At 38.9% G+C, this 25,317-nt stretch overlaps 1 long non-coding RNA gene and 1 pseudogene across 2 annotated transcripts in view; one reads left to right on the top strand and one right to left on the bottom strand.

Moving 5' to 3' along the window:
- LOC105375815 (uncharacterized) overlaps positions 1-25,317 on the top strand; it is an 80,550-nt gene that overhangs the window by 41,226 nt on the left and 14,007 nt on the right. The window contains exon 4 of one of the 2 annotated variants that reach the window (XR_928842.3): positions 17,015-17,331. The exons of the other annotated variant lie outside the window; for it this stretch is intronic. This is a non-coding gene — a long non-coding RNA (uncharacterized LOC105375815). The remainder of the gene's footprint in view (positions 1-17,014; positions 17,332-25,317) is intronic. 2 annotated transcript variants of the gene reach the window in all.
- On the bottom strand, positions 23,153-23,455 carry RN7SKP32 (RN7SK pseudogene 32; annotated as a pseudogene).

The raw sequence follows: 25,317 nt of genomic DNA on the forward strand, positions 1-25,317 counted from the left end.
AGAAAATAACTTATGGCTTGTAAGGAAGCTTAATGAGATCCGAGAGCATTGAAAACCACCACAAAGAAATCGGATAAACAATTTGGAAAGGGAGCCCCCACCCCCAGCCAAGAAAAGCAGTGAGTCAATGTGTGACCCCAGGGAAACCACATTTCTCCCCTGGATCTTTGTAACTCTCCAATCAGGACATCACCCTGTGAGTCCACACCACAGGGGCCTTGGGTCCAACACACAAGAGCTGTGTGGAGTCTCAGCAGAGCAGCTGCTCAGGCACGCAGAGAGACCCAGGAACTTTACAGACTCTGAGCCCAGGATCCCTGACAAAGATGACTGCAACTCAGGCAAGGTCGAAGGTCCATACATATCCCTAGGAAGGGGGCTGAATCGAGGGAGCTGAGCAGCATCAGTCTGCAGGCCCCACTTCCATGGCACCTCGCAAGATTGTGGGCCCCACTTCAATGGCACCTCACAAGATAAGACCCATTGGCTTGGAATTCCAGCCAGCCACTAAAAACAGGGTGGAGCCTGCCTGAGACAGGATGGAGCCCCCAAGGGAGGGGCGCACTATCATCTTTTCTGTTTGATGAACTCAGCTGTTCCAGCCTGCAGGCTGTGGAGAATACCAAAAGTCCAGATAAGAAAAAGTACCCTCAGCGCAGCACAGCTGCTTTGCCACAACATGGTCAGACTGCTTCTTTAAGTGGGACTCCAATCCATTCCTCCTCACTGGATGGGACTTCCCAACTGGGGCTTTCAGCCACCCCCACCCTCCAGCCACCCCCTCCCACCCATATTCTATAGACAGAGTTCTGATCTCTCCTTGGGATGGGCTGCCACCTTGGTTATTTGGACATCTCAGCCATTGCAGCCGTAGACCTATGGAGAGTCCATACCCAAAGGGGCGGAGGTGGTTTTGAAGCCTGGCATGATTGTTTTCTTGAGGTGTGGCCAAACTGCTTCTTTAAATGGGTCCCTGATCCACTCCTCCAGCCGCACCCACCTGTATATTACAGGCAGGGTTCTGATAGCTCTGAGAAAAAATGCTTGTGGGAAGGAGTGCGTCATCGTCTTTGCTGTTTGGGTGACTCGGCCATTCAAGCCTGGGGGCTTTGGTGAGTCTAAGCAGACCAGGCCAAAAGTAATTACCCAGTATAGTATGACTGTTTTGTTGAGGCATGGCCAGACTGCTTCTTTAAACAGGACCGAAATCCATTCCTCCTTGCTGGATCTCTCAGCCAAAGCCTCTAGCCACTCCTGTTCATGTTCTATGGCAAACAAAGTTATAATTTCTCCCTCGGATGGAGTGCCTAAGGAGTGAAGCAGGCCACCACCTTTGCTCTTTGGGCATCTCAGCTGGTCCAACCTGTGGGCCTTAAAGAGTCCAAACCAATTGGGAGGCTGAAGGGATCCCCAATATAGCACAGCTGCTCTACAAAATATAGCCAGACTACTTCTTTAAGTTGGTCCCCGATCCCTTTCCTTCTGACTGGGTGAGATGTTCCAACCCAGGTCTCCAGTCACCTCCTACAGGTGCATTCAGGCTGGAAAAAGATCAGTAACCCCCGGGGATGAAGCTACCAGAGGAAGAAACAGGATGCCATCTTTGCTATTTCACAGGCTTCACTGGTGATACCTTCAGGTACCGGAAAAACTGAGGCAACAAGGGTCTAGAATAGAACCCCAGCAAACTGCAGCAGCCCTACCAAATAGTGGCCAGCCTGTTAAAAGAAAAACAGACAACCAGATAAACAACAACAAAAACACAAAACCCCCAAAGATCAGGAACCTCAAATATCGAAGGTAGGTAAGTCCACAAAGATGAGAAAGAATCAGTGCAAAAATAATAAAAGCTCAAAAAGCCAGAGTGCCCCTCTCCTTCAAAATGACAACACCTCTCCAGCAAGGATTCAGAACTTGGCTGAGGCTCAGATAGCTAAAATGACACACGTAGGCTTCATTCACAATGTGGATGAAAATGAACGTCACTGAGCTAAAAAAGCAAGTTGTAACCCATTGTAAGGAAGCTAAGAATCATGATAAACCAATGCAGGAGCTGACAGCCAAAATAGCCAGTACAAAGAGGAACATAACTGACCTGATAGAGCTGAAAAACACACTACAAGAAATTCACAATGCAATCACAAGTATTAGTAGCAGAATACACCAAGCAAAGGAAAGAATCTCAGAGCTTGAAGACTGGCATTCTGAAATAGGCAGGCAAGAAGACATAACAAAGAATAAAAAGGAATGAACAAAACCTCAAAGAAATATGGGATTATACAGAGACTGAATCTATGACTAACTGGAGTACATGAAACAGACAGGGATAACAAAAACAATTTGGAAAACATATTTCAGGACATCACCGAGAAGAACTTCCCCAGTCTACCTAGACAGGCCAACATTCAAATTCAGGAAATGCAGAGACCCCAGTAAGATAATCCACAGAAGATCGTCCCCAAGACACATAATCATCAGATTCTGCAAGGTCCAAATGAAGGAAACATATTAAGGGCAGCCAGAAAGAAAGGACACATCATCTACAGAGGGAAGCCCATCAGATGAATAGTGGAACTCTCAGCAGAAACCCTACAAGACAGAATAGATTGAAGGCCAATGTTCAGCTTTCTTAAAGAAAAGAAATTCCAATCCAGAATTTCATACATGGCCAAACTAACCTTCATAAGCAAAGAAGATATAAGATCCTTTGCAGACAAGCAAATGCTACAGGAATTCATTACCATCAGACCTGACTTGCAAGAGCTCATGAAGAAAGCACTGAATATGGAAGAGTAAAACTATTACCAGCCACTACAAAAACACACTGAAGTACACAGATCAGTGTCACTATGAAGCAACCACATAAACAAGTCTACAAAATAATCAGGCAGCATCATGATGACAGGATCAAATTTACACCTAATAATTTTTTTTTTTGGAGACAGTCTTGCTCTGTCGCCAGGCTGGAGTGCAGTGGCATGATCTTGGCTCACTGAAACCTCCAACTCCCTGGTTCAAGTGATTCTCTTGCCTCAGCCTCCCAAGTAGCTGGGATTATATGCATGCACCACCACACCCAGCTAATTTTTGTATTTTTAGTAGAGACGGGGTTTCACCATGTTGACCAGGCTGGTCTCGAACGCCTGACCTCGTGATCCACCTGCCTTGGCCTCCCAAAGTGCTGGGATTACAGGTGTGAACCACCGCGCCCAGCCTACACATAATATTTTTAACCTTAAATGTAAACGGGCTAAATGCCCCAATTAAAAGACACACATTGGCAGGCCGGATAAAAAATCAAGACCCATTGGTACGCAGTCTTTAAGAGAGCCATCTCATGTGCAAAGACACAAATAGGCTCAAAATAAAGGGATGGAGGAAAATTTACCAAGCAAATAAAAAGTTGAAAAAAGCAGGGGTTGCCATCCTAGTTTCTGAAAAAAACAGACTTAAAACCAAAAAAAGACAAAAAAGGGCATTACATAATGGTAAATGGCTCAATTCAACAAGTGCTAACTATCCAAAATATGTATGAACCCAATACAGGAGCACCCAGATTCATAAAACAAGTTCTTAGAGACCTAGAAAGAGACTTAGACTCCCACACAATAATAGTGGGAGACTTTAACACCCCACTGAAAATATTAGACAGATCATTGAGACAGAAAATTAACAAAGATATTCAGGAACTGAACTCAGCTCTAAATCAAGTGAACCTAATAGATATGTACAGAACTCTCCACCCCAAAACAGAATATACATCCTTCTCATCGCCACATGGCACTTATTGTAAAACTGACCACATTATTGGAAGTAAAACACTCCTCAGCAAATCCAAAGAACTGAAATAACAATAAACAGTCTCTCAGACAACAGCACAATCAAATTAGAACTCAGGATTAAGAATTTCACTCAAAACCATATTACTACATGGAAGGTGAACCACCTGCTTCTGAAAGGGTAAATAATGCACTTAAGGGAGAAATCAAGAAGTTCTTTCAAACTAATGAGAACAAATATACAATACACCTGGGAATCTCTGGGACACAGCTAAAGGAGTGTTAGAGGGAAATTTACAGCACTAAATGCCCACATCAAAAAGCCAGAAAGATCTCAAGTCAACAACCTAAATAACAACTAAAAGAATGAGAGAACCAAGAGCAAACAAACCCCAAAGCTGGAAGAAGGCAAGAAATAATCAAAATCAGGGCTGAACTAAAAAAGATAGAGACACGAAAAACCCTTTTAAAAATCAACATATGCAGGAGCTGGTTTTTTGAAAAAATTATTAAAATAGACCACTAGCTAGACTAATGAAGAAGAAAAGAGAGAAGATTCAAATAGACAAAACCAGAAATAATAAGAAGGATATCACCACTGACCCCACAGAAATACAAACAACTATCAGGGAATACTATAAACACCCCTATGCACATAAACTAGAAAATCTAGAAGAAACAGATAAAATCCTGGATACATACAACCTTCCAAGACTGAACCAGGAAGAAACTGAATCCCTGAATAGACCAATAATGAGTTCTGAACTTGAGGCAGTAATAAATGCCTACAAACAAACAAAAAAAAAAAGCCCAGGACCAGATGAATTCACAGCTGAATACTACCAGAGGTACAAAGAAGAGCTGGTACCATCTGGAACTATTCCAAACAGCTAAACTCAATCTATGAGGCCAGTACACCAAAACCTGGCAGAGACATAACAAAAGAAAACTTCACTCCAATATTCTTGAAGAAGATTGATGCCAAAATCTTCAACAAAATACTGGCAAACTGAATCCACCAGCACTGCAAAAATGCTTATCCACCACAGCAAAAAGCTTATCCATCACAATCAAGCTGACTTCATTCCCAGGATGCAAAGCTGATTCAACACACACAAATCAAATGTGATTCATCACATACACCGAACTAGGTACAAAAACCACATGATTATGTGAACAGATGCAGAAAATGCCTTTGATAAAATTCAACATGCTTTCATGTTAAAAACTCTCAGTAAACCAGGTATTAAAAGAACGTACCTCAAAATAAAAGCTTATATGACAAACTCACAGCCACTATTATAGTGAATAGGCAAAAGATAAAAGCATTCCCCTTGAAAACCAGCACAAGAGAAAGCTGCCCTCTCTCACCACTCCTATTCAACATAGTATTGGAAGTTCTGACCAGGGCAATCAGGCAAGAGAAAGAAATAAAGGGTATTCAAATATAAAGAGAAGTCAAACTATCTTTGTTTGCAGATGACATGATTCTATTTCAATAGAACCCCGTCATCCCAGCCCAACAGCTTCACAGAAAAAGCTCATAAGCAACTTTAGCAAAGTCTCAGAACATAAAAGCAATCTGCAAAAATCACCAGCATTCCCATACAACAACAGGCAAGCCAAGAGCCAAATCATAAATTAAATCTCATTCACAACTGCCACAAAAATAAAATCACTTTTGCTATGCTTTAGCAGAGACTGGCAGCATTTTTCCCCTAAACTAGAGAACTATGGATCTTGGAACTTCAGAGAGATTATTTGGAGTATCTTTGCAGAAGAATTTTTTTTTTTTTTTTTTTTTCTGAGAGACTTTTGCTCTGTCACCCAGGCTAGAGTGCCATGGTGTGATCTCATCTCACTGCAATCTCCGCTTCCTGGGTTCAAGCAATTCTCATATCTCAGCCTCCTGCATAACTGGAAATACAGGCATATGCCACCACACCCAGCTAATTTTTGTACGTTTTGTAGAGATACCGTTTCCCCATGTTGGTCAGGCTGGTCTCAAACTCCTGACCTCAAGTGATCCAACCACCTCAACCTCCAAAACTGTTGGGATTACAGGCAAGCGCCACCGTGCCCATCCCAGAAGAAATTTCTAAGCAGCAAATCATTCAAGATATAACCTGGCTGTTTATTTATTTGAGACTGCGTATAGCTCTGTCACCCAAACTGGAGTGCAGTGGCGTGATCTTGGCTCACTGCAACCTCCACCTCTCAGGTTCAAATGATTTTCCTGCCTCAGTCTCCTGAGTAGCTAGGATTACAGGCACGTGCCACCACACCCAGCTAATTTTTGTGTTTTCAGTAGAAACGGGGTTTCACCATGTTAGCCAGGCTGGTCCCGAACACCTGATCTCGTGATCCACCCATTTCGGCCTTCGAAAGTGCTGGGATTACAGGCGTGAGCCACCACACCCGGCCATGACCTGACTGTTTCTTAACGTGTATAGTCATGTGTCTTCACAAAGAGATGGTCTGAAATTGGAATTTACATTTTAAAAAAAAAACAGAGCATAAAAATTTGGAAAACTTGCAGCCTGACCATGTGTTGGGGAAAAAATGCACTTTCTGGGGAGATATTCAAGATAGTGGCTGTAGAAATTTGCATAAGAGAAGGTGAATGTTAATAACCAAGACAATGGGAAAAAATGTCTTCAGGGCATTTCAAGATCTTCATGGCAGCCCCTCCCATCAAAGGCCTGAAGGCCTAAGAGAAAAAAAATAGTTTTCTTGACTGTGCCCAGGATCTCACTGCTTTGTGCAGCTTTGGGACATGGAGCCCTGTGTCCCAGCTGCTCCAGCTCCAGCTGTGGCTAAAAGAGGCCAAGGTACAGCTCAGACACTGGCTTCAGAGGGTGCAAGTCCCAAGCTTTGGTGGCTTCTACATGCTGTTAAGCCTGTGGGTGCATAGAAGGCAACAATTTAGGAGCCTCTACCTAGATTTCAGAGGATATATGGAGGTGCCTGGATGTCCAGGCAGAAGTCTGCTGCAGGGACAAAGCTCTCATGGAGAAGCTCTACTAGGGCAGTGCAGACGGGAAATGTGGGGTTGGAGATGTCACAGACAGTCCCCACTGGAGCACTGCCTCATGGAGCTGTGAGAAGAGGGCCACCATATTCCAGACCCCAGAATGGTAGATCCACTGACAGTTTGCACCATAAACTGGAAAAGCCGAAGGCACTCAGTGCTAGTCCCAGTAAGCAGCAACAGGGGCTGTACCCTGCAGAGCCACTGGGGTGAAGCTGTCCAAGGCATTGGGAGGCCATGCCTTGTGTCAGTGTGGCATGGAGTCAAAGGAGATTATTTTGGAGCTTTAAGATTTAATGACTGCCCTGTTGGGTTCTCCAATTGCATGGGGCCTGTAACCTCTTTGTTTTGGCCAATTTCTCACATTTGGAATGGGAGCATTTACCCAATGCCTGTACTTCCATCATATCTAAGAAATAACTAACTTGTTTTTTTATTTTACATGCTCATAGGTGAAAGGAACTTGCCTAGTCTCACATGAGACTTTGGACTTGGATGTTTGAGTTAATGCTGGAATGAATTAAGAGTTTGGGGGACTGTTGGGAAGGTGTGATTATTTTCAAATGTGAGGAGGACCTGAGATTTGGGAGAATCCAGGAGTGGAATAAGGTTTTGCTCTGTGTCCCCACCCAAATCTCATGTCAAATTGTAATTCCCACATGTCAGGAAAGAGACCTAGTGGGACATAACTGGATCATGAAGGTGGTTTTCCCCATGCTGTTCTCATGATAAGTGAGTTGTAATGAGGTCTAATGGTTCAAACGTGTGTGGCAGTTCCCCCTTTACTCTCTATCTCCTGCCACCAGGTAAGATGTGCCTTGCTTCCCCTTCACCTTCTGCCATAATTGTAGGTCTCCTGAGGCCTTCCAAGCCATGCATAATTGTGAGTCAATTAATCCTCTTTTCTTTAAAAATTACTTGGTCTCAGGTATTCTTTATACACATGTGTAAACAGAATAACATGTTGCCCAAAGCAATTAATCAATTCAATGCTATTCCCATTAAATTACCACTGACATTCTTCACAGAATTAGAAACAAACTATTTTAAAATTCATATGAAACCAAAAAGAGCCCAAATAGCCAAGGCAATCCCAAGCAAAAAGACAAATAAAAGCTGGAGGCATCACACTACTTGACTTTATACTACAGGGCTATAAAAACAAAAATAGCATGGTACTGGTACAAGAACAGACACACAGACAAATAGAACAGAATAGAGAACCCAGAAATAAGACCACACAACTACCACCATCTGATCTTTGACACACTTACGAAGAATGAGCAATGGGGAAAGGATTCCCTATTTAACAAATGGTGCTAGGAGAACTGGCTAGCCATATGCAGAAAATTGAAACTGGAAACCTTCCTTACACCATATACAAAAACCAACTCCAGATAGATTAAAGATTTAAATGTAAAACCCAAAAACTGTAAAAACTCTAGAAGAAACCCTAGGCAATACCATTCAGGACACAGGCATAGGCAAAGATTTCATGATGAAGACCAACTGCAACAAAAGCAAAAGCAGATGAATAAGATCTAATTAAATTAAAGAGCTTCTGCACAGCGAAAGAAACTATCAACAGAGTAAACAGAAAAGCTACAAAATGGGAAAAAAACTTTTTCAATCTACCCATCTGACAAAGGGTCTAATATCCAGCACTGGATAGTGCTCCCAGTACTAATATCCAGCACACTAGAACCTGTAGGACGGAAGGAGGTGGGAAAAGGGAAAGGATCAGGAAGAATAGCTAATGGGTGCTAGACTTAATACCTGGGTTATGAGATGATCTGTGCAACAAATCAACATGGCATATGTTGATCTATGTAACAAACCTGAATATCCTGCACATGTACCCCTGAATTTAAAATAAAAGTTAAAAATTAAACACAATGAAACACCAAAAAACAATTTAAAATGTGAAAGGAAAGACAGATTTTAAAAAACAGAACTTCTGAAAATGCATGCAAAGTTAAACAGAGTCAAAAGTTTTCACAACATCCTAGACCAAGCAGAAGAATTTTAGAATATAAAGGCTGATCTTTCAAATTCACCTACTCACACAAAAATTTTTTTAAAAAAGTATTTTTAAAAATGAACAAAGCCTTTGGGCCAGGCACATTGGCTCATGCCTGTAATCCCAGCACTTTGGGAGGCCGAGGTGGGCCAATCACCTGAGGTCAGGAGTTCAAGACCAGCCTGACCAATATGCAGAAACCCCGTCTCTGCTGAAAACACAAAATTAGCCAGGCATGGTGGTGCACACCTGTAACCCCAGCTACTCAGTAGGCTGAGGCAGGAGAATCACTTGAACCCAGGAGGCGGAGGTTGCGGTGAGCTGAGATCACGCCATTGCACTCCAGCCTGGGCAACAAGTTCAAAACTCCATCTCAACAACAATAATAAAGATGAACAAAGCCTTTGAAAAATATGGGATTACGTAAAGCGACCAAACCCACCAGTTATAGGCATGCCTGAGGGAGAAAAAAGTTAAAGTCTTGGAAAACATTTTAGGAAATGCTTCAGGAAATTTTTCATGGTCTTGATAGAGATGTAGATATGCAAATGCAAGATGCTCAGGGAACAACTAGAAGTTACTTTACAGGTGAATATCACCAAGGCATGTAGTCATCAGCCTATCCAAAGTCAACATGAAGAAAAAATCATAAGAGCACCTAAAGAAAAGCATCAAATCATCTATAAAGTAAATGCCGTCAGACTAACAGCAGACTTCTCAGCAGAAATCTTACAGACCAGGAGATTAAAGACCTATTTAAGCCTTCTTAAAACAAAAATACCAGCCCCAAATTTTATATCCTGCCAAATAAAACAGAGACAAAGTCTTTCAAAGACAAGCAAATGCTAAGGAAATTTGTCACCACTAGACCAGCCCTGCAAGAAATGCTCAAAGAAGTTCTAAACATGGAAACAAAAGAATCATACCATTATAAAAACACATGCAAGTGGCCAAGAAATATATAAAAAAAACTGCTCAGCATCAGTAATCATAAGAGAAATCCAAATCAAAACCAAATAAGATACTGTCACACCAGTCAGAATGGCTATTATCAAAAAGTCAAAAAAAACAACAGATGCTGGTGAGGCTGTGGAGAAAAGAGAATATTTATGCACTGTTGGTGGGGAAAGCAGTTTTGTAATATCTCAAGGAACTTAAAACAGATCAACCATTAGACCCAGCAATCCTATTACTGGGAATATGCTCAAAAGAAAATAAATCAATAAACCAAAAGACACATGCACTTGTATGTTTATTACTGTGCTATTTACAACAACAAAGGCATGGAAAGTCAACCCAGCTGCCCCTCAACAGTAGATTGGACAAAGAAAATGTGATACATATACACCATAGAATACTACACAGCCAAAAGAAGAATAAAATCATGTTCTTTTAAGCAACATGGATAAAGCTGGAGGCTATAATCCTAACCAAATTAACACAGAAACAGAAAATACTACATGTTCTCACTTATAAGTGGAAGCTAAATATTCAGCACACTGAGACATAAACATGGGAACAACAGACACTGTAAACTACTAGATTGGGGAGGAAGAAAGGGGGGTATGGGTTGATAAACTACCTACTGCATAATATTCTTACTAACTGGGTACAATATACCCTTGCAGCAATCAATCACATGTACCTCTGCATCAAAAATAATTGTTAGCCAGGCATGGTGGCTCACACCTGTAATTCCAGCACTCTGCAAGGCCAAGGTGAGTGGAACACTTGAGGTCAGGAGTTTGAGACCAGCCTGGCCAACATGGTGAAACCCCATCTCTATTAAAAATAGAAAAAATAAGGTGGGTGTGACAGCATGGGCCTGTAATCCCAGCTACTCAGGAGGTTGAGACAGGAGAATCACTTGAACCTGGGAGGTAGAGGTTGTAGTGAGCTGAGACTGCACCACTGCACACCAGCCTAGGTGACACAGCAAGATCCTGTCTCAAAATAAATAAACAAATAATCATTAAAGTTAAAAAATATATACAAATACAAACCTCACAGATCTTATGAAGCAATCACAATTGAGACTCCAAAGAAACTAGATAACAATATTATGACAGGAATAAAATTTCATATATCAATATAAACCTTTAATGTACATGGCCTAAGTGCTCCACTTAAGAGATAGAGAATGGCAAATTGAATTTAAGACAACAAGATTCAGCCATTTGCTGCCAAGAGGAAACCCACCTAATGAATCAACACACTCAGACTCAAAGTTAAGTGGTGGATAAAGGTGTACCATGCAAACAGAAAACAAAAATGAGCAGGAGCAATTGTACTTTTATCAGATAATACAGACATTAAATTAACAACAACAAAAAAAGAGGTTATTATATAAAGAATTCAATTTAACAAGAAGATATAACTATTCTTAAAATACATACACCCCAAACTGGAAACCAAGGTTCATTAACCAAATATGAGTAGACTGAATGAAAGACACAGACAGCAATATAGTAATAGCAGGGTGCTTCAACACCCCACTGACAGCAGTAGACAAATCATCAAGGATAAAAATCCACAATGAAACTCTGAACTTAAAATGATCTTTAAACCAAATGGATCAAATAGACACCTACAGAACAGAACATCCTACTCAACAACTACAAAATGTATATTTTTCTCATCTGCACATGGAACATTCTCAAAAGTACTCCATATGTTTTACCATAAGAAAGTCTCAATAAATGTAAAAAGATCAAAATAATATCAAGTATCTTCTCAGACCACGGTAATCCTATTGTAATTTTGAATAAAATTAGAAATCAATACCAAGAGGAAATCTCAAAACTACACAAATACATGGAAACTAAACACTGTTCTTGAATGATCTTCGGGTAAACCAAAAAATTAATGCAGAAATCAAAAAATTTTTGAAAAGAATAAAAATAGAGACAAAAAAATACCCAAACCTCTGGGATACAACAAAAGGAATGCTAATATGAATGTTTACAGCATTAATTATGTCAAAATGACAGAAATAGCTCAAAATAACGACCCATGTCACACCTCAAGGAACTAGAGAAATAAAAACAAACCAAACCCAAGGCCAGCATAACAACAAAAAATGCAAACATCGCAGCCCAAGGAAAAGAGACTGAAATGAAAAAAGATACAAAGGATCAACAAAATGAAAAGTTGGCTCTTTGAACAAACAAAATTAACAAACTGGTAGCTAGGTCAAACAAAAAAAAGCAAAAACATTCAAATAAGCACAATCAAAAAGAGTAAAGTTGACATTTCAACTGATACTGACATGGCTCTGTTGTTTGGGGAAACACCCAGGGTCCTTGGTCTTGTACAAAGAAAATTAGTGACATGGACACATGTGGAGTGGATTAAGGAGCAGAAAGTTTAATAGGCAAGAAAGAAGAGAACAGCTCCCCCATACAGATGGAGGGAAAGCAGTTGCTTATATTGGGAGATTCAAGGAGGTGATGTCTGATTTGCATAGGGTCCAGGGGATTGGTTTGACCAGGTATGTCATTCGCATAACCTGCAATAAAACTGGCCTTTTATTATGCAAATTCAGCCATCTAGCTGATTGCCATGACACCTGTACAGGTGGCCTCTACCTGACTCCCCACCATGATGTCCGTACATGTGGCAACAAAGAAAAAGTAGTGGGAACCACCATATTGGGTGGACCTGGCTCTTAGCTACCTGCATTTACATATGCAAACCTGTAGCTTGCATATCAATGCTTGCAACTATGGTTTTTCAGGCCACTTTATTTTAAAAAAGAAATGTTTGGGGGGCTGCTTTTTTATTAAAAGATAAAGCCTTACTGAGGACTCTTTTACCCTTTCTGGCTACCTAAAATAATTTAATAACTCCTGTAATAATACCAAAAAAATACAAAAGATTATTAGAGACTACTATGAGCATATGCTCAAAAACTAGAGAATCTACAGAACATAAATTCCTGGATACATACAACCTCAGAAGACTGAAACAGGAAACTATAAAATTCCTGAGCAGACAAATAATAGGTAATTAATTTGACACAGTAATTTAGAAAATCTCCCAACTAGAAAGAGCCCAGGGCCATACAGATTCACAGCTGAATGTTACCAGACATAAGTAAAACAGCACATCAAAAAGGTAATACATCACATACAAGTGGGTTTTATTCAAAGGATGCAAGGATGGTTCAACATAAGGAAATCAACAAATGTAATTCAACATAAGGAAATCAACAAATGTAATTCAACACAAACAGAACTATGAAGAAAAACCCTATGATCATCTCAACAGATGCAGAAAAAGTATTGGATAAAATCCAATATCCCCTCATGATAAAAAAAATTCCTCAACAAATGAGGCATTGAAGGAACATTCCTCAAAATAAAAAAAGTCATGTATGCTAAATCCACAGCCTACATCATACAGAACGGGCAAAAGTTGAAAGTATTCTCCCTAAGAACTGGAACACAACATGGATACCCAATTTTATCACCTATATTCAAGAAACTACTTGAAGTCCTAGACTGAGCAAGTAAGCAAGAGAAAGAAATGAAAGGCATCCAAACTGGAAAAGAGAAAGTCAGATGATCTCTGTTTGCTTATTGATCTTATACCTGGTAAACCCTAAAGACTCGTACAAGAAACTTCTAGACTTTATAAATGACTTCAGTAATGTTTCAGGATACAAAATCAATGTGCAAAAAGCAGTATCATTTCTAAACACCAATAATGTTCAAGGTGAAAACCCAATCAAGAACTCAATCCTATTTACAATAGTCACACAAACATGAAATACCTAGATGTTCATTTTAGTCAAGGAGGTAGAAGACCTGTGTTAGGAAAACTACACTCTGAGTAAAGACAAAACACTGATGAAAGAAATCATAGATGAAACAAACATATAAAAAAATCCTATAACCACGTATTTGGTAGAATCAATGTCTTTTAAATGACCATACTGCCCAAGGAAATAAAACAAATTCAATGCATTCTGGTCAAACTATTACCATCATTTTTCAAGGAATTAGTAAAACAATTCTAAGATTCACATAGAACAAAAAAAGCCCAAACAGCCAAAGCAATTCTAAGCAAAAGTAACACAGTTGGAAGCATCATATTACCTGACTTCATATTATACTATAAGACTGTAATAACCAAAACAGCATGATGACGGTACAGAATTATACCAACTGGCTAATGGAACAGAACAGGACCCTTACACCTACAACCACGTAATCTTCAACACGGTCAACAAAAATACACAATGAGGAAAAAACAACCTATTCAATAAATTGTCCTAAAAAAATTAAACAGCCACGAGTAGAAGAATAAAACAGGACCCCTATCACTCACCATATATAAAAATTAACAGAAAATGGATTAAAGACTTAAATTTAAGACTGGAAACTATAAAAACTCTAGAATAAAAGCCAAAAAAACCTCTTCTGGACACTGGTCTTTGCAAAGAATTTATAACTAAGTCAATGCAACAAAAGCAAAAAATACACAAATCAGATTATATTAAACCAAAGAGCTTCTGCACAGCAAAAGAAATAATCAACAGAGCAAACAGACTACCTAAAGAATGGGAGAATATACTTGCAAATTATGCATTTGACAAAGTAGTAATATCCAAAATCTATAAGGAACTCAAGCAACTCAACAACAACAAAAAACATTAAAAAGCAAACAAAGGATGTAATAAGATATTTATCAAAAGAAAACATACAAGTGGCCAGCAAGCTTACGAAAAGATGCTCATCACTAATCATCAGAGAAGTGCAAATTCAAGCTGCAGTGAGATACCATCTCACACCAGTCAGAATGGCTACTATTAAAAAGTAAAAAAAAAAAAAAAGAAAGAAAGAAAGAAAAGAAAAAGAAAAAAGTGAATGCATATACAATGTAAATTAGTACAACCTAGTTGGAATAAACTTCAGTTAAGGGGGAAGGTTGCAGAAGCCAAGGTTCTTGTCATGTAGATGAAGCCTCTAGATAGCAGGTTTCAGAAAGAATATATGTGAATGTTCTCATCATAGGTGTCAGAATTTCAGGAGAGGACAAGTAAGGGAGGGAGATTCTTTACAGAATGTGCATTTTATCAAGAGACAGATTTGCAGGCCCATTTCAAAATATGTCAAAAAATATATTTTGAGGTAAAATACTTTGATTTTCTTTTAAGGCATACTTTGATTTTCTTTTAAGTCCTGTTATTTGTCATGTGAAGTTATGCCACAGTCAGGTTGGAGTTGGTCTTCTTGTTACAAAGAGGCTGTTTTGTCAGTTATAATTATAATGTTAATGCTGTTCACTTGTGCCTCAACTCCAAGGATAAAAGTGTACAATGAGACATGTCTGACCCCACTTACCATCATGGCCTGAACTAGTTTTTCAGGTTTGTTTGGTCCTCCTTGACTGAGAAATCTAGTAGTTGGGGGACTTAGAATTTTATTTGTGCTTTACATCCTGCTCTTTCTGGCAAACGTTTGCAAGGCAACATCAATAATGAAACTTTGGCTGGGCTTGGTGACTCATGTCGGTAATCCCAGCACTTCAGGAGACTGAGGTGGGCGGATCACTTGAGGCCAGGAGTTCAAAACCAGCCTGACCAACATGACGAAACCCCATCTCTACAAAAAAATGCAAAAATTAGCCAGGTGTGGTGGTGCATGCCTGTAATCCCAGCTGCTTGGGAGGCTGAGGCAAAAGAATCATTTGAACCCAGGAGGCAGAGTTTGCAGTGATCTGAGATCATGCCACTGCACTCCAGCCTAACCAACAGACTAAGACTCTGTCTCAAAAAAAAAAAAAAAAAAAAAAAAAAAAAGTCAAACTTTAATTTTTTCCCTGTTGCAAGAGTGGTGAACCTACCTGCCCTGGATTCTGTTCCTTGACGGGGCCCCTATGGCCAACAGACTTAAAGCCAAAAGACTTACAGCCAATTTAAATGTTTGAGGACTAAACTCTGGTTTTTTTTTTTTATCTTGCCCACGTTCCTATCTAAGGGGTCTGGAGAGCCATGCCCTACAAATCATAAATTCTCATCAGAAGGGTTTTATTTAACCCTATATATCATGACATATTTTCCAACCTGCCTCTGGCATAACATTATGAGACAAGGAAGAAAATCAAAATATTTTACCCCAAAACATGTTTATTTGCCATATCTTGAAATGGCCCTACAAAGCTGTTATTTGTGGGGGAGAATTTGCATCTGTAAACAATCTCCATTATCATAGCTGGAATTTTTTCTTCAAGACCCTCCCAATCCTAAAGAGATGTAACTAAAATCTGAATCGGAAACATTTGTCATCTACTGTCTCTAAGGGCAGCCACTATAACACTTCAAAAGAACTTGGATCTCCACAATTTTTACCTTAACCAGAACATTCCCTTTCTATGAATCCAAGATCTTTAAACAAACTCAACCAATTATCAACCAGAAAATTTTTAATTCACCTATAGCCTGGAAGCCCCCCCACTTTGAGTTGTCCTGCCTCTCTAGACCAAACCAATGTATTTCTTAAATGTATTTGATGTCTCATGCCTCTCTAAAATGTATAAAACCAAGCTGCACCCCGACCACCTTGGGCATATGTTCTCAGGACCTTCTACAGGCTGCATCATGGGCCATGGTCGCTCAAATTTGTCTCAGAATAAATCTCTTCAAATATTTTACAAAGTTTGACTCTTTTCTTTGACATATTCTAGGCCAGACAGGAATAGGGGTGGGCAGGCATTCTTCAACTCTTAAAAATTTTAAAGCAACATAAAAGCCAAAAACCAAAAGCCAAAGATAACAAAATTGACTTGTATAACTTTGTTAAATCAGGTTTAGCCTAAAGCTGCCTCTTTACATATTTTAAGTTCAGCCTAAAGGCTTCCCTGTATAACAAGTGGACATGTAAACAGACCACAGCCTACACTTGTGCCAACAACAGACTATTGGCCATATACAGCCAACCGTTCAAACTCTGTTCAAATAAGGCAAATTCCTAGCTGTAACCAATCCAGCTGTTTCTATACCTCACTACTATATTTTTTATGTAACTTCCCTTTTTATGTACATAAATCTTCTTCCACCATGTTGGCTGCACTGGAGTCCCTGAGCTTACTCTGGCTCAGGAGGCTGCTTGACTCATGAATCTTTTATTCCTCAATTAAAGTCTTTTAAATTTAATTTGGCTAAAGTTTTTCTTTTAACAGATGGCATCAGAAGTGGGATCTGAAGCAGAGCTTCTAATGACTCCCAGGAGTGCTGAGTGACCAAGCAAGGTACCTGCCGGGCCCACAGTGCCCACTGCTTTCTCGCAGCAACTGGGGATCATGGAAAGTTCTCAGATTTTGAAGTTCCACGGATTTGTGTTTTGAGCGCTCCAAGTTTCTTTGAGCAAATTTCTGATCCAAACTGGGTTTGGAAGTCGTGACCAAAACTGGACTGGGTCAAGGATAGAATATGGTAATTAACTGTCTTGGATCCAGTTAGAGGCCTCTTACATCTGACGGGGTCAAAAAGAACCCAGGTAAATGGCAATATTGCAGGGGGCATAAAATTTGGCTTTTGGAAATTTGCAGGGATTTTTGTGTTCTACTCCTTTGTTTCATTTTTCTTGTGCACTTAGGTAGGAAAAAAATCACTGGCTAAGCTGATCAAGGGAACCTGATGGCAAAGCCAATATTTGTGGTAAAAATGGCATCCTTAATTTCTGAAGAATTGAGTTCCGGCTTACACACGCATAAGTATTAAGCCCCGGAAGCAGCAAAGTCTTACAGAAATGGCAAAATCTTAACTAAAGATAACTTACAGTGGAACATTTTAAATGAACAACACTGCACTGAAGTGATTTGAAAATAAGGGTTCTTACATCAGTCTCATTGAAGGATGTCTATTGATGTGCAAAAGCTTCTAAAAATACTTCAGTATTTTAAAGACTTTACAGAAAAACAAACAGCTTAAAAGACTGATTAAAGAAATTAAATCTGCCTTGCACTCTGCTGATGGCTGTGGATGACAGGATTCGGCATGTAAAGGATCATGGGACATGGGGAACTGTTTTTCTCCTGAAATAGGGAAACGAGAGCTGATGGTACTCCTAAAAAAGATCCCTTCACGACTGATAAGCAGCCCCCTGAACTTTAATTCACTGTTACTGCAATGGGTAGGTCCTTCTCTGGCCTCCCTGAGCTCTTTGCCTTCCCCACCCCGCCACAGACAATATTTTTCTCTTTTCCCTTTTCTAGCTTTTCTGTTACTCAGGGCAACTGTCTGCTCTTTCATCTTGCCCAGAGTCCACATATTGAAATTCCTGGTTGGAAGCTCATTCCATCTCACTTTCAGTGGATGACAGGGCCCAACCTGAGGCAAGTCTGACCCTTGCCGGTTCGATATTGGGCACTAAGCAGAGTTTTGTCACATGTATTTTGCATTGGCCAGAATAGAAAATGTTAATTTGGTTACCCCATGCAACCTCTTGTAAGCATCTTGCAAAACTGAAAGGCTTTTGCCTATGGTTTTAAGAAACAGAAATAGGTTTTATGAAATAGAAAAAGGTAATTTTCCTTTGTAATGTGGCTTGGCCAAGGCTATGGGCAGCAAGCAGGGTTGCGAAGATCACTAAGGGAAAGGGAACCTAGAAGCTTGACATGCCTCCAAAAGGGTCAGACTTCTTGCCTCAGACTTCTTGCCTCAGACTTCTTGCCTCTCTCTGTGGAAACTAGCTGTAGAAATGGTAAAAATCACTATCTCCTCTGCAAAGTTTTCATTAATGAAAAAAAGGATTTGTGAGACTAGTCTTAAACTGTAGCAAATCTGGTGTACTTTGTGCCATGAACTGGGATCATTTTGTCATAAAAATGGGTACTACAGGATAGAATGCAGGCCTAGGGCCCCCATAAGCTCACTGTTCAAGCCAGTCCAGTAAACTGGTCAATTACAAACTTTGCTGCAGGTGTCTGAAACATTAAAAAAAAAAAAAATGGATGGGGATTCCCTCTCATCTAGTTTTATGTCCTTGGGAGCTTGTTACCAAATGGTAGTACTTTCTCTTGGTCTCCACCATCTGGAGGACAGGAATTGTGGAGTTCATGTCATAGTACTAAAAATTATCTTGAGCAGTTAAAAGCCTTTGCAAGTTCAAAACTGGCTGCTCTAGGCTCCTTCTGTGAAGAGCAATGGAAATTACCTAATGCTATAGCTTAGTGGCTAAGACTTTGCCTTTTTACAGTGGCAGCCTGGTTTCAATTCTTGGCTCAGAGAATGAGTCCTTTCTGGTTTGATATCTGTGTGATCTTTGCCATTTATTCTCTTTCCCTCCATGAACAACTTCCGACATCCATCTTGAATTTTTCCTTCTCTGGGCTACCTGTGGAGAGTCTAGATTTTGTAAAAATTGCTTACTACCGCTTTGAAAATACCACAGACACTCGTGGTTAAGTCATAACCTTAGTTAAGGCTTATTGGTTTCACCTGGGAGATTACTTTTGTAATAGTTAAAAAGCCAGAAATATTGGCTGTTTGACCTAGCTTAAGTCAGGTTAATATGAGTTTAAAATGGCTTTTTTTTTAAAGTGCACTATAGGTAAAAGCCAGCTTAATTAAAATAGAATATCCAAGATATAGGTATATTTAAGTCCTTTTTGATTTTTTCTCTTCTTCGATCTTATTTTTCCATTAAAAAAAAAGGAAAAAAAAGGTATTTTCTTTTCAGTTAACTTAATTGTTTTTCTCCATTTTGTCTTCTTGCTTTTCTTGATGCACACACGAGGTTAACTGTGCATGCATCAGTTACTAAGATAACTTCTAACAGCCTGGAACTCCTTGGGAAAAACAGAGGAGGCACCACAGACCTGGTTTTGGGAAAAACCTCTGTTTTCCTCACGAAACCCCAGGAATTGAAAGCAGATAGATTCCTCACAAAATCTAAGGCTATATTTTTGGGGATGGCAAATGGCAGTTATGGGGGGGGGATACTCAGCTCTTTGCACGTTTCAATCAGAGAAACATGTTCTTGGTCACCTAGAAAGTATGGAAATGTCCTCACTCCCCACTGAGAAATAAGGCTCCCATAAGGGATGGGCTGATCACAAAATGAACTAATTGGTTTTGGATTGCTCTGCACCAAATACATGGTAAGGATCATTGCACTGTCTTGTTCCAGATCATTTCTTTTTTGGGGATCCAGTATAAACTGGGACCCTAAATTTTGGGGGATCTGTTTTGCCTTTCAGCTGTGCCTGTTTATTAGGTCCTAAAAACCGCATATTTTCCTAGCCCTCTTCCACAAAGGACTCCATCCTGAAGCCAGTAATCCAATTAAGACAAAACTGACAAAAACTGGCAAATGAAAAAATCTTACAACTACTGGATCTACTTCTGTCTGTATTTTTATATGTTGTGTGTGATGTTTATAAATGAAAAAGCTCTAATTGGTTTAAAAATCAATGAGTGCTTAAATCAAATATTTTTTTCAGAAAAATAAAAACTGTTATGCCTTTTAGTTCATCTGACTTTAGTAAACTTTGGGAAATAAAGACAGTTTTAAAGTTTATTGGTAAAATAAAGGCATTTGGTCTAAATTAGGCAGGTCAGATATTAGATTTATAAAATGCTTTAAATAAACTGCTTCTTTGACTTCTAAAATTTGTTCAACTTACCTGTTTTGGAGCCACCAGGAAAGGCCTGGGGACATGTGGAATTAGCCATGCCCCCTGGCTATGCTTGAAATAGTCAGACTTTATCTGCACTTCTGATGTCCTAGGCTCCAGACCTAGTACATAATTAAAATCAGTTACTTGCCAGGTTTTTCAACAAAAATAAAAATTGCTAAGAGTTAACACTGTAACATGTAATTGAGACTACTGAAAAAGATTTCACATGGAAGCTGTGTGAGCAAAGTGAAATGTGCTTTTAGTAAAAGATTATAAGAAGGCATTGGAATGTAAATTTTTGCCTAGTTTAGAGGGTTAAAGGATTGTTTTAATTTAGATAGGATAAAGCTAAAGGTTTGAACAAGTTGTGGAAGATTTCTGAAAAATTAATCTTGTAAAAGAAACTGTGTGTGTGAACATATTGGCTAAATTTAAAGTAGCATTATTCAGTTTTTCCATAAATTGAACATTGGAATAAAAGCACAAAAGGGTTTTATTAGAGCACTGAACTGCTTTTTAATACAAATTTGTAAAAGGTTATCAAAAGTTTATGAGAATCTCACCTTATGGTCAAAATGATAAAGACTGAATTTGTCTATAAGGTTTTATTAAAAATTGGGGTTGACATTAATAGTACATTAACGCAAAGATGAAATCTGGCATTCTCTCTTGAATAAGATTTTCATGTAATATTACAGAATAATAAAAGTTTTGTTTCCCCTCCAAATAAACTACAGAAAAAGAAGAGAAAGACACAGATTATTTGAAAAGCTAAGTCTTCTATCAATGAGTCAAATTTTTACCTTTAAAAATTTTTTGAGTTATTTTGGCTAAATGACTTATTGTGACCTCGAAGTCCATTTTATAATATCAAGTGTTTTAAACCTTTAATATATTTGATAGCCTTCCCAAAATCAAATTTCAGCTTCAAAATTAAGTCTTTTTTGACTTCTAACTTTGGGATGCTACAGAGGCCCCTGAAGCATCCAAAAGATGGGTAAACAGGATTATATGACATGTTAAGTTACATGGGAATCACTGTCAAAATAAGAAATGTCTAACCTTCTTCAGGTTATATTCTAATGAATGTTAAACTATGTTACAACATTGTATGGGATTTCTAAAATTCTAATATGTCTAAATACATGCTATCAATCATAATTACAGTTATAATAAATTGTAGACCACAGAAATAACCAAATTTACTTGTCAATTGTGTAACTATGACTATTTTAACGTCATTTCCACAGTTAACTGCTTAATACTGATGCAGTTTCTGAAAACTTCACAAGCACAAAATATCCTAGAATATGGTGTCTTTTAGGTTCCTGAAAGGATGGGAAGGACCACGAAAAGAGCTCTTGAATACAGGTTTCTGGAAACTTTAGAATCATATCATTTGGATGTGTAAGAATTCCTGAAACTTGGCAAAATGTGGTGGCTCACACCTGTAATCCCAGCTCTTTGGGAGGCCGAGGCAGGCAGATCACAAGGTCAGGAGTTTGGGACCAGCCTGGCCAACATGGTGAAACTCTGTCTCTACTAAAAATACAAAAAAAAAAAAAAAAAAAAATTAGCCAGGCGTGGTGGCAGGGACCTGTAATCCCAACTACTTGAGAGGCTGAGGCAGGAAAATTGCTTGGAGATTGCAGTGAGCCAAGACTGTGCCACTGCACTCCAGCCTGGGCAACAGAGCGAGACTCCATCTCAAAAAAAAAAAAAAAAAAAAAAAGAATTCTTGTAACTTTAATGAAAAGACTTACTTGTTTTTAAAACTCCTACTCACGAAGAACAAAAATTAATTGAATAACAAGAAAACACTTTGTCAGAACTTCATGCTAAATAAGCCAATACTGAAATTGTTTAGATATACAATTCAATGAATTCCATGTTCTAAGTCAAATTACCTATGAAAACCCATCTGTTATTAGTGCTATGAACCTAAATTGGAGAAACAACTGGTATTCAAGAGGGCATAAGTTCAATGTTAAGCATGGACTCATGGAGAACAGGACAGCTGCCTTGTCTTTCCTGAGTCCATCCATAAAACTTTCATTATTAAAATTTCTGCATTCCATGACTCATCATAGAAAAGATAAAATAATCCAAGTTAAATATATATTGGCGTGGTGAATTCTAAATTGCTAAAATAGTTTATGACCAATGTTTGTTTGTCAAACTCATATTCCTGGAAAGACAATCAAAGCTTCAGATACATTCCACTACCTGATAGGCCATTTCAACATTTATAAAGGGATTTCATTGAATTATCATTTTCAATGCATGTTTTCTGGTTGTATAAAAGCTGTCCCATGAAAAAGACCTGATGTTATAACAGTAGATTATTATGTCACACTGTATTTTCACCACATAAAAGAAAGCTTTTTATGATTCACTGACTGAGAATAATCAACACCCCTTCACAATCTGGAGCCTGAAGATTGGATCTTCTGAGAACATCAGAGAAAGACTGCCTTTAACATCCACACTGCAGCAAAGCACCACAAAGAAGGGTCCCTCCACAGTCTTGGAACTGTACACCCACTGGAACCCTTAAAGTAAAGCTAACCAGAGAAGTTTCTCCCAGAAGATGGCATACTTGATGTGAACACCTTTTCCCAAGATCACAGATCAAGACTTTTCTATCATGAGACTCTGAATATTTTTGCCCTTGCTAATGCCTCTATAAACAATAGACATGAAAAGGGGGATCTGTTGTGCACACTCATGGGGTATACTTTTATCTGTGAAAGATTTTGTAGCCAGTCTTATATATATATAAAACCTTAAACCTTGGGAGCTTGTTTGGAGGTTCTAGCAGAGGACTGCAGCTAGTCATATACCCTTGACCAAAAAATGGTCCTCCTATGCAGCTTCAAAAGGGATGCACATGGAGTAGTGAGAGAGGAAGGGGACACCTGCCTAGCTAGCCAAATCAGCCAAATCAAACCTGGAGATCAATGAGGTAAGAGATGTCAGAGCCATATCGCCCTCACATCTGGATAACTTTATACCTTGATGGATGGAAGATGAAGGCCAAATGTGAGAAATTTTAATGGTACATATGTTGCCTCATAATCAGTTGGAAACAGACATTTATTCACTCCTCTTAACCTACATCATGGGTTAAAGAGAATATTGCCAGGAAGCCTTCACTCTTCTAGGAGGGCATCATTTGTTAGGTCCTATTTTTCCCATGGTTTAAAGTAAAAGAGGCAATGATTTCAAATGTATCTCTCATGATAGGTTCTATAGCACATTCTACTGTAAAGGCTAAAGTTACAAAACAGACTTTAAATTCCCTTGGGAAAGCTAAGCTAAATAATAGAATTGCTCTAGATGACTTACTGGCTAAACAGAGAAGTAACTGTGCAGCTGCTGGCACGTGTGGCCTATGAAGAAATACATCACAATAGGTATTATATTCAGCTGTCGGACATTAATGAAGAGACTGCTTACTTAAGTGAGCAAACTCTTTAGCCCATTCTTTGGATTTTAGGTGGTTTGGTTTATGAGGACCTTAAGTAACTAACTACTCCAAACTCTTGTTATTATCTTTCTGATACACTATAGTCTTCCTGGCACACTGTATTCTCCTTAAAATTTTAAATGCTTCCATGCAGCCAACTCTATAATGTCAAATGGTCTCTCTTCAACTGGAATGACAAGAGCTGAAAAAAGTGTGTGACCATGAGGACACTGTAACCTATAAGTAACATGTTGAGACCAGAAACCCAAAGTGATGGTAACTGAGAGTAGCACTAAGACCCTAAGTTTTGGCCACAGTGTCAATCACCTAAGTGAGAACCTGACCAAAATGGGGGAATTTTTAAACAAAATTATGAGAGGCTATTGTTTTAGACTGAGTTCATGCATTATGCCCCAACAGACCAGATTGAACCAAACCAAAATTGAGTCACTCATGCTAAATATGACATAATCAAACTAAAACTTTAAGGAAAAACACACATCCTAGAACAGACTAGGTTTTGTTTTTTGTTTTTGTTTTTTTTTCCTCCTATAAAAAGGATGTTCCAGCATAAGGAGGTACCCTCTACTCAAACCCTTACAAAAAAATCAAATAATCTGAAGTCCCTGTTTCCACCTTACAAAACCCACTGTTCTACTACTTCCCAATGGGTTTCAAGATCAAATAAGTACACACACAATAGTAATAGGAACATCAATGACTAAAATATGACCAATCTCTCAAAATTGAGAAGATGACCAAAAGAGGGAAACTGTTAAAGTTTAGCCTAAAGCTTCCTCCTTACAAATGTTAAGTTTGGCCTAAAGGTTAAGGTCAAAGGTTTCCCTGTACTTGAACTATAACAAGTAAAAGTATAAACAGACTACACCCTACATTTGTGCCAATCACTGAGATTAGGCCAATCAAATGTAGACAACTGTTCAAATCATGTTCAAATAAGGCAAACATTGAGCTGTAACCAATCCAGCTGTTTCTGTACCTAACTTCAATTTTCTGTATATCACTTTCCTTTTTCTGTCCATAAACATTCTTCCACCATGTGGCTGCACTGAGCCTGAGTCTACTCTGGCTCAGGAGGCAGACCAATTCGCAAATCATTCATTGCTCCAGTAAATTTTTAAGTTTAATTCAGCTGAAGTTTTTCTTTTAATTTCTATGTGATGAGCTAGCATAATTTTGGTTTTAGTTACACACTGTAGTAATTAGCTATGTGAAACACAATCATATTAAGACTTTTGTTATGCCACAAAGATTTTTGTGTGGTCTTTTTAGTAATTTATACTAAGATGGCTGATTTTAAAAGAGCTTTCTGTATTTATCTGTATAAGTTTCATAACTTGGAGCATTCTACCCATTAGACTTTGTCACTAAG

This window comes from Homo sapiens, chromosome 8, assembly GCF_000001405.40.
Source record: "Homo sapiens chromosome 8, GRCh38.p14 Primary Assembly".
Lineage (NCBI taxonomy): Eukaryota > Metazoa > Chordata > Mammalia > Primates > Hominidae > Homo > Homo sapiens.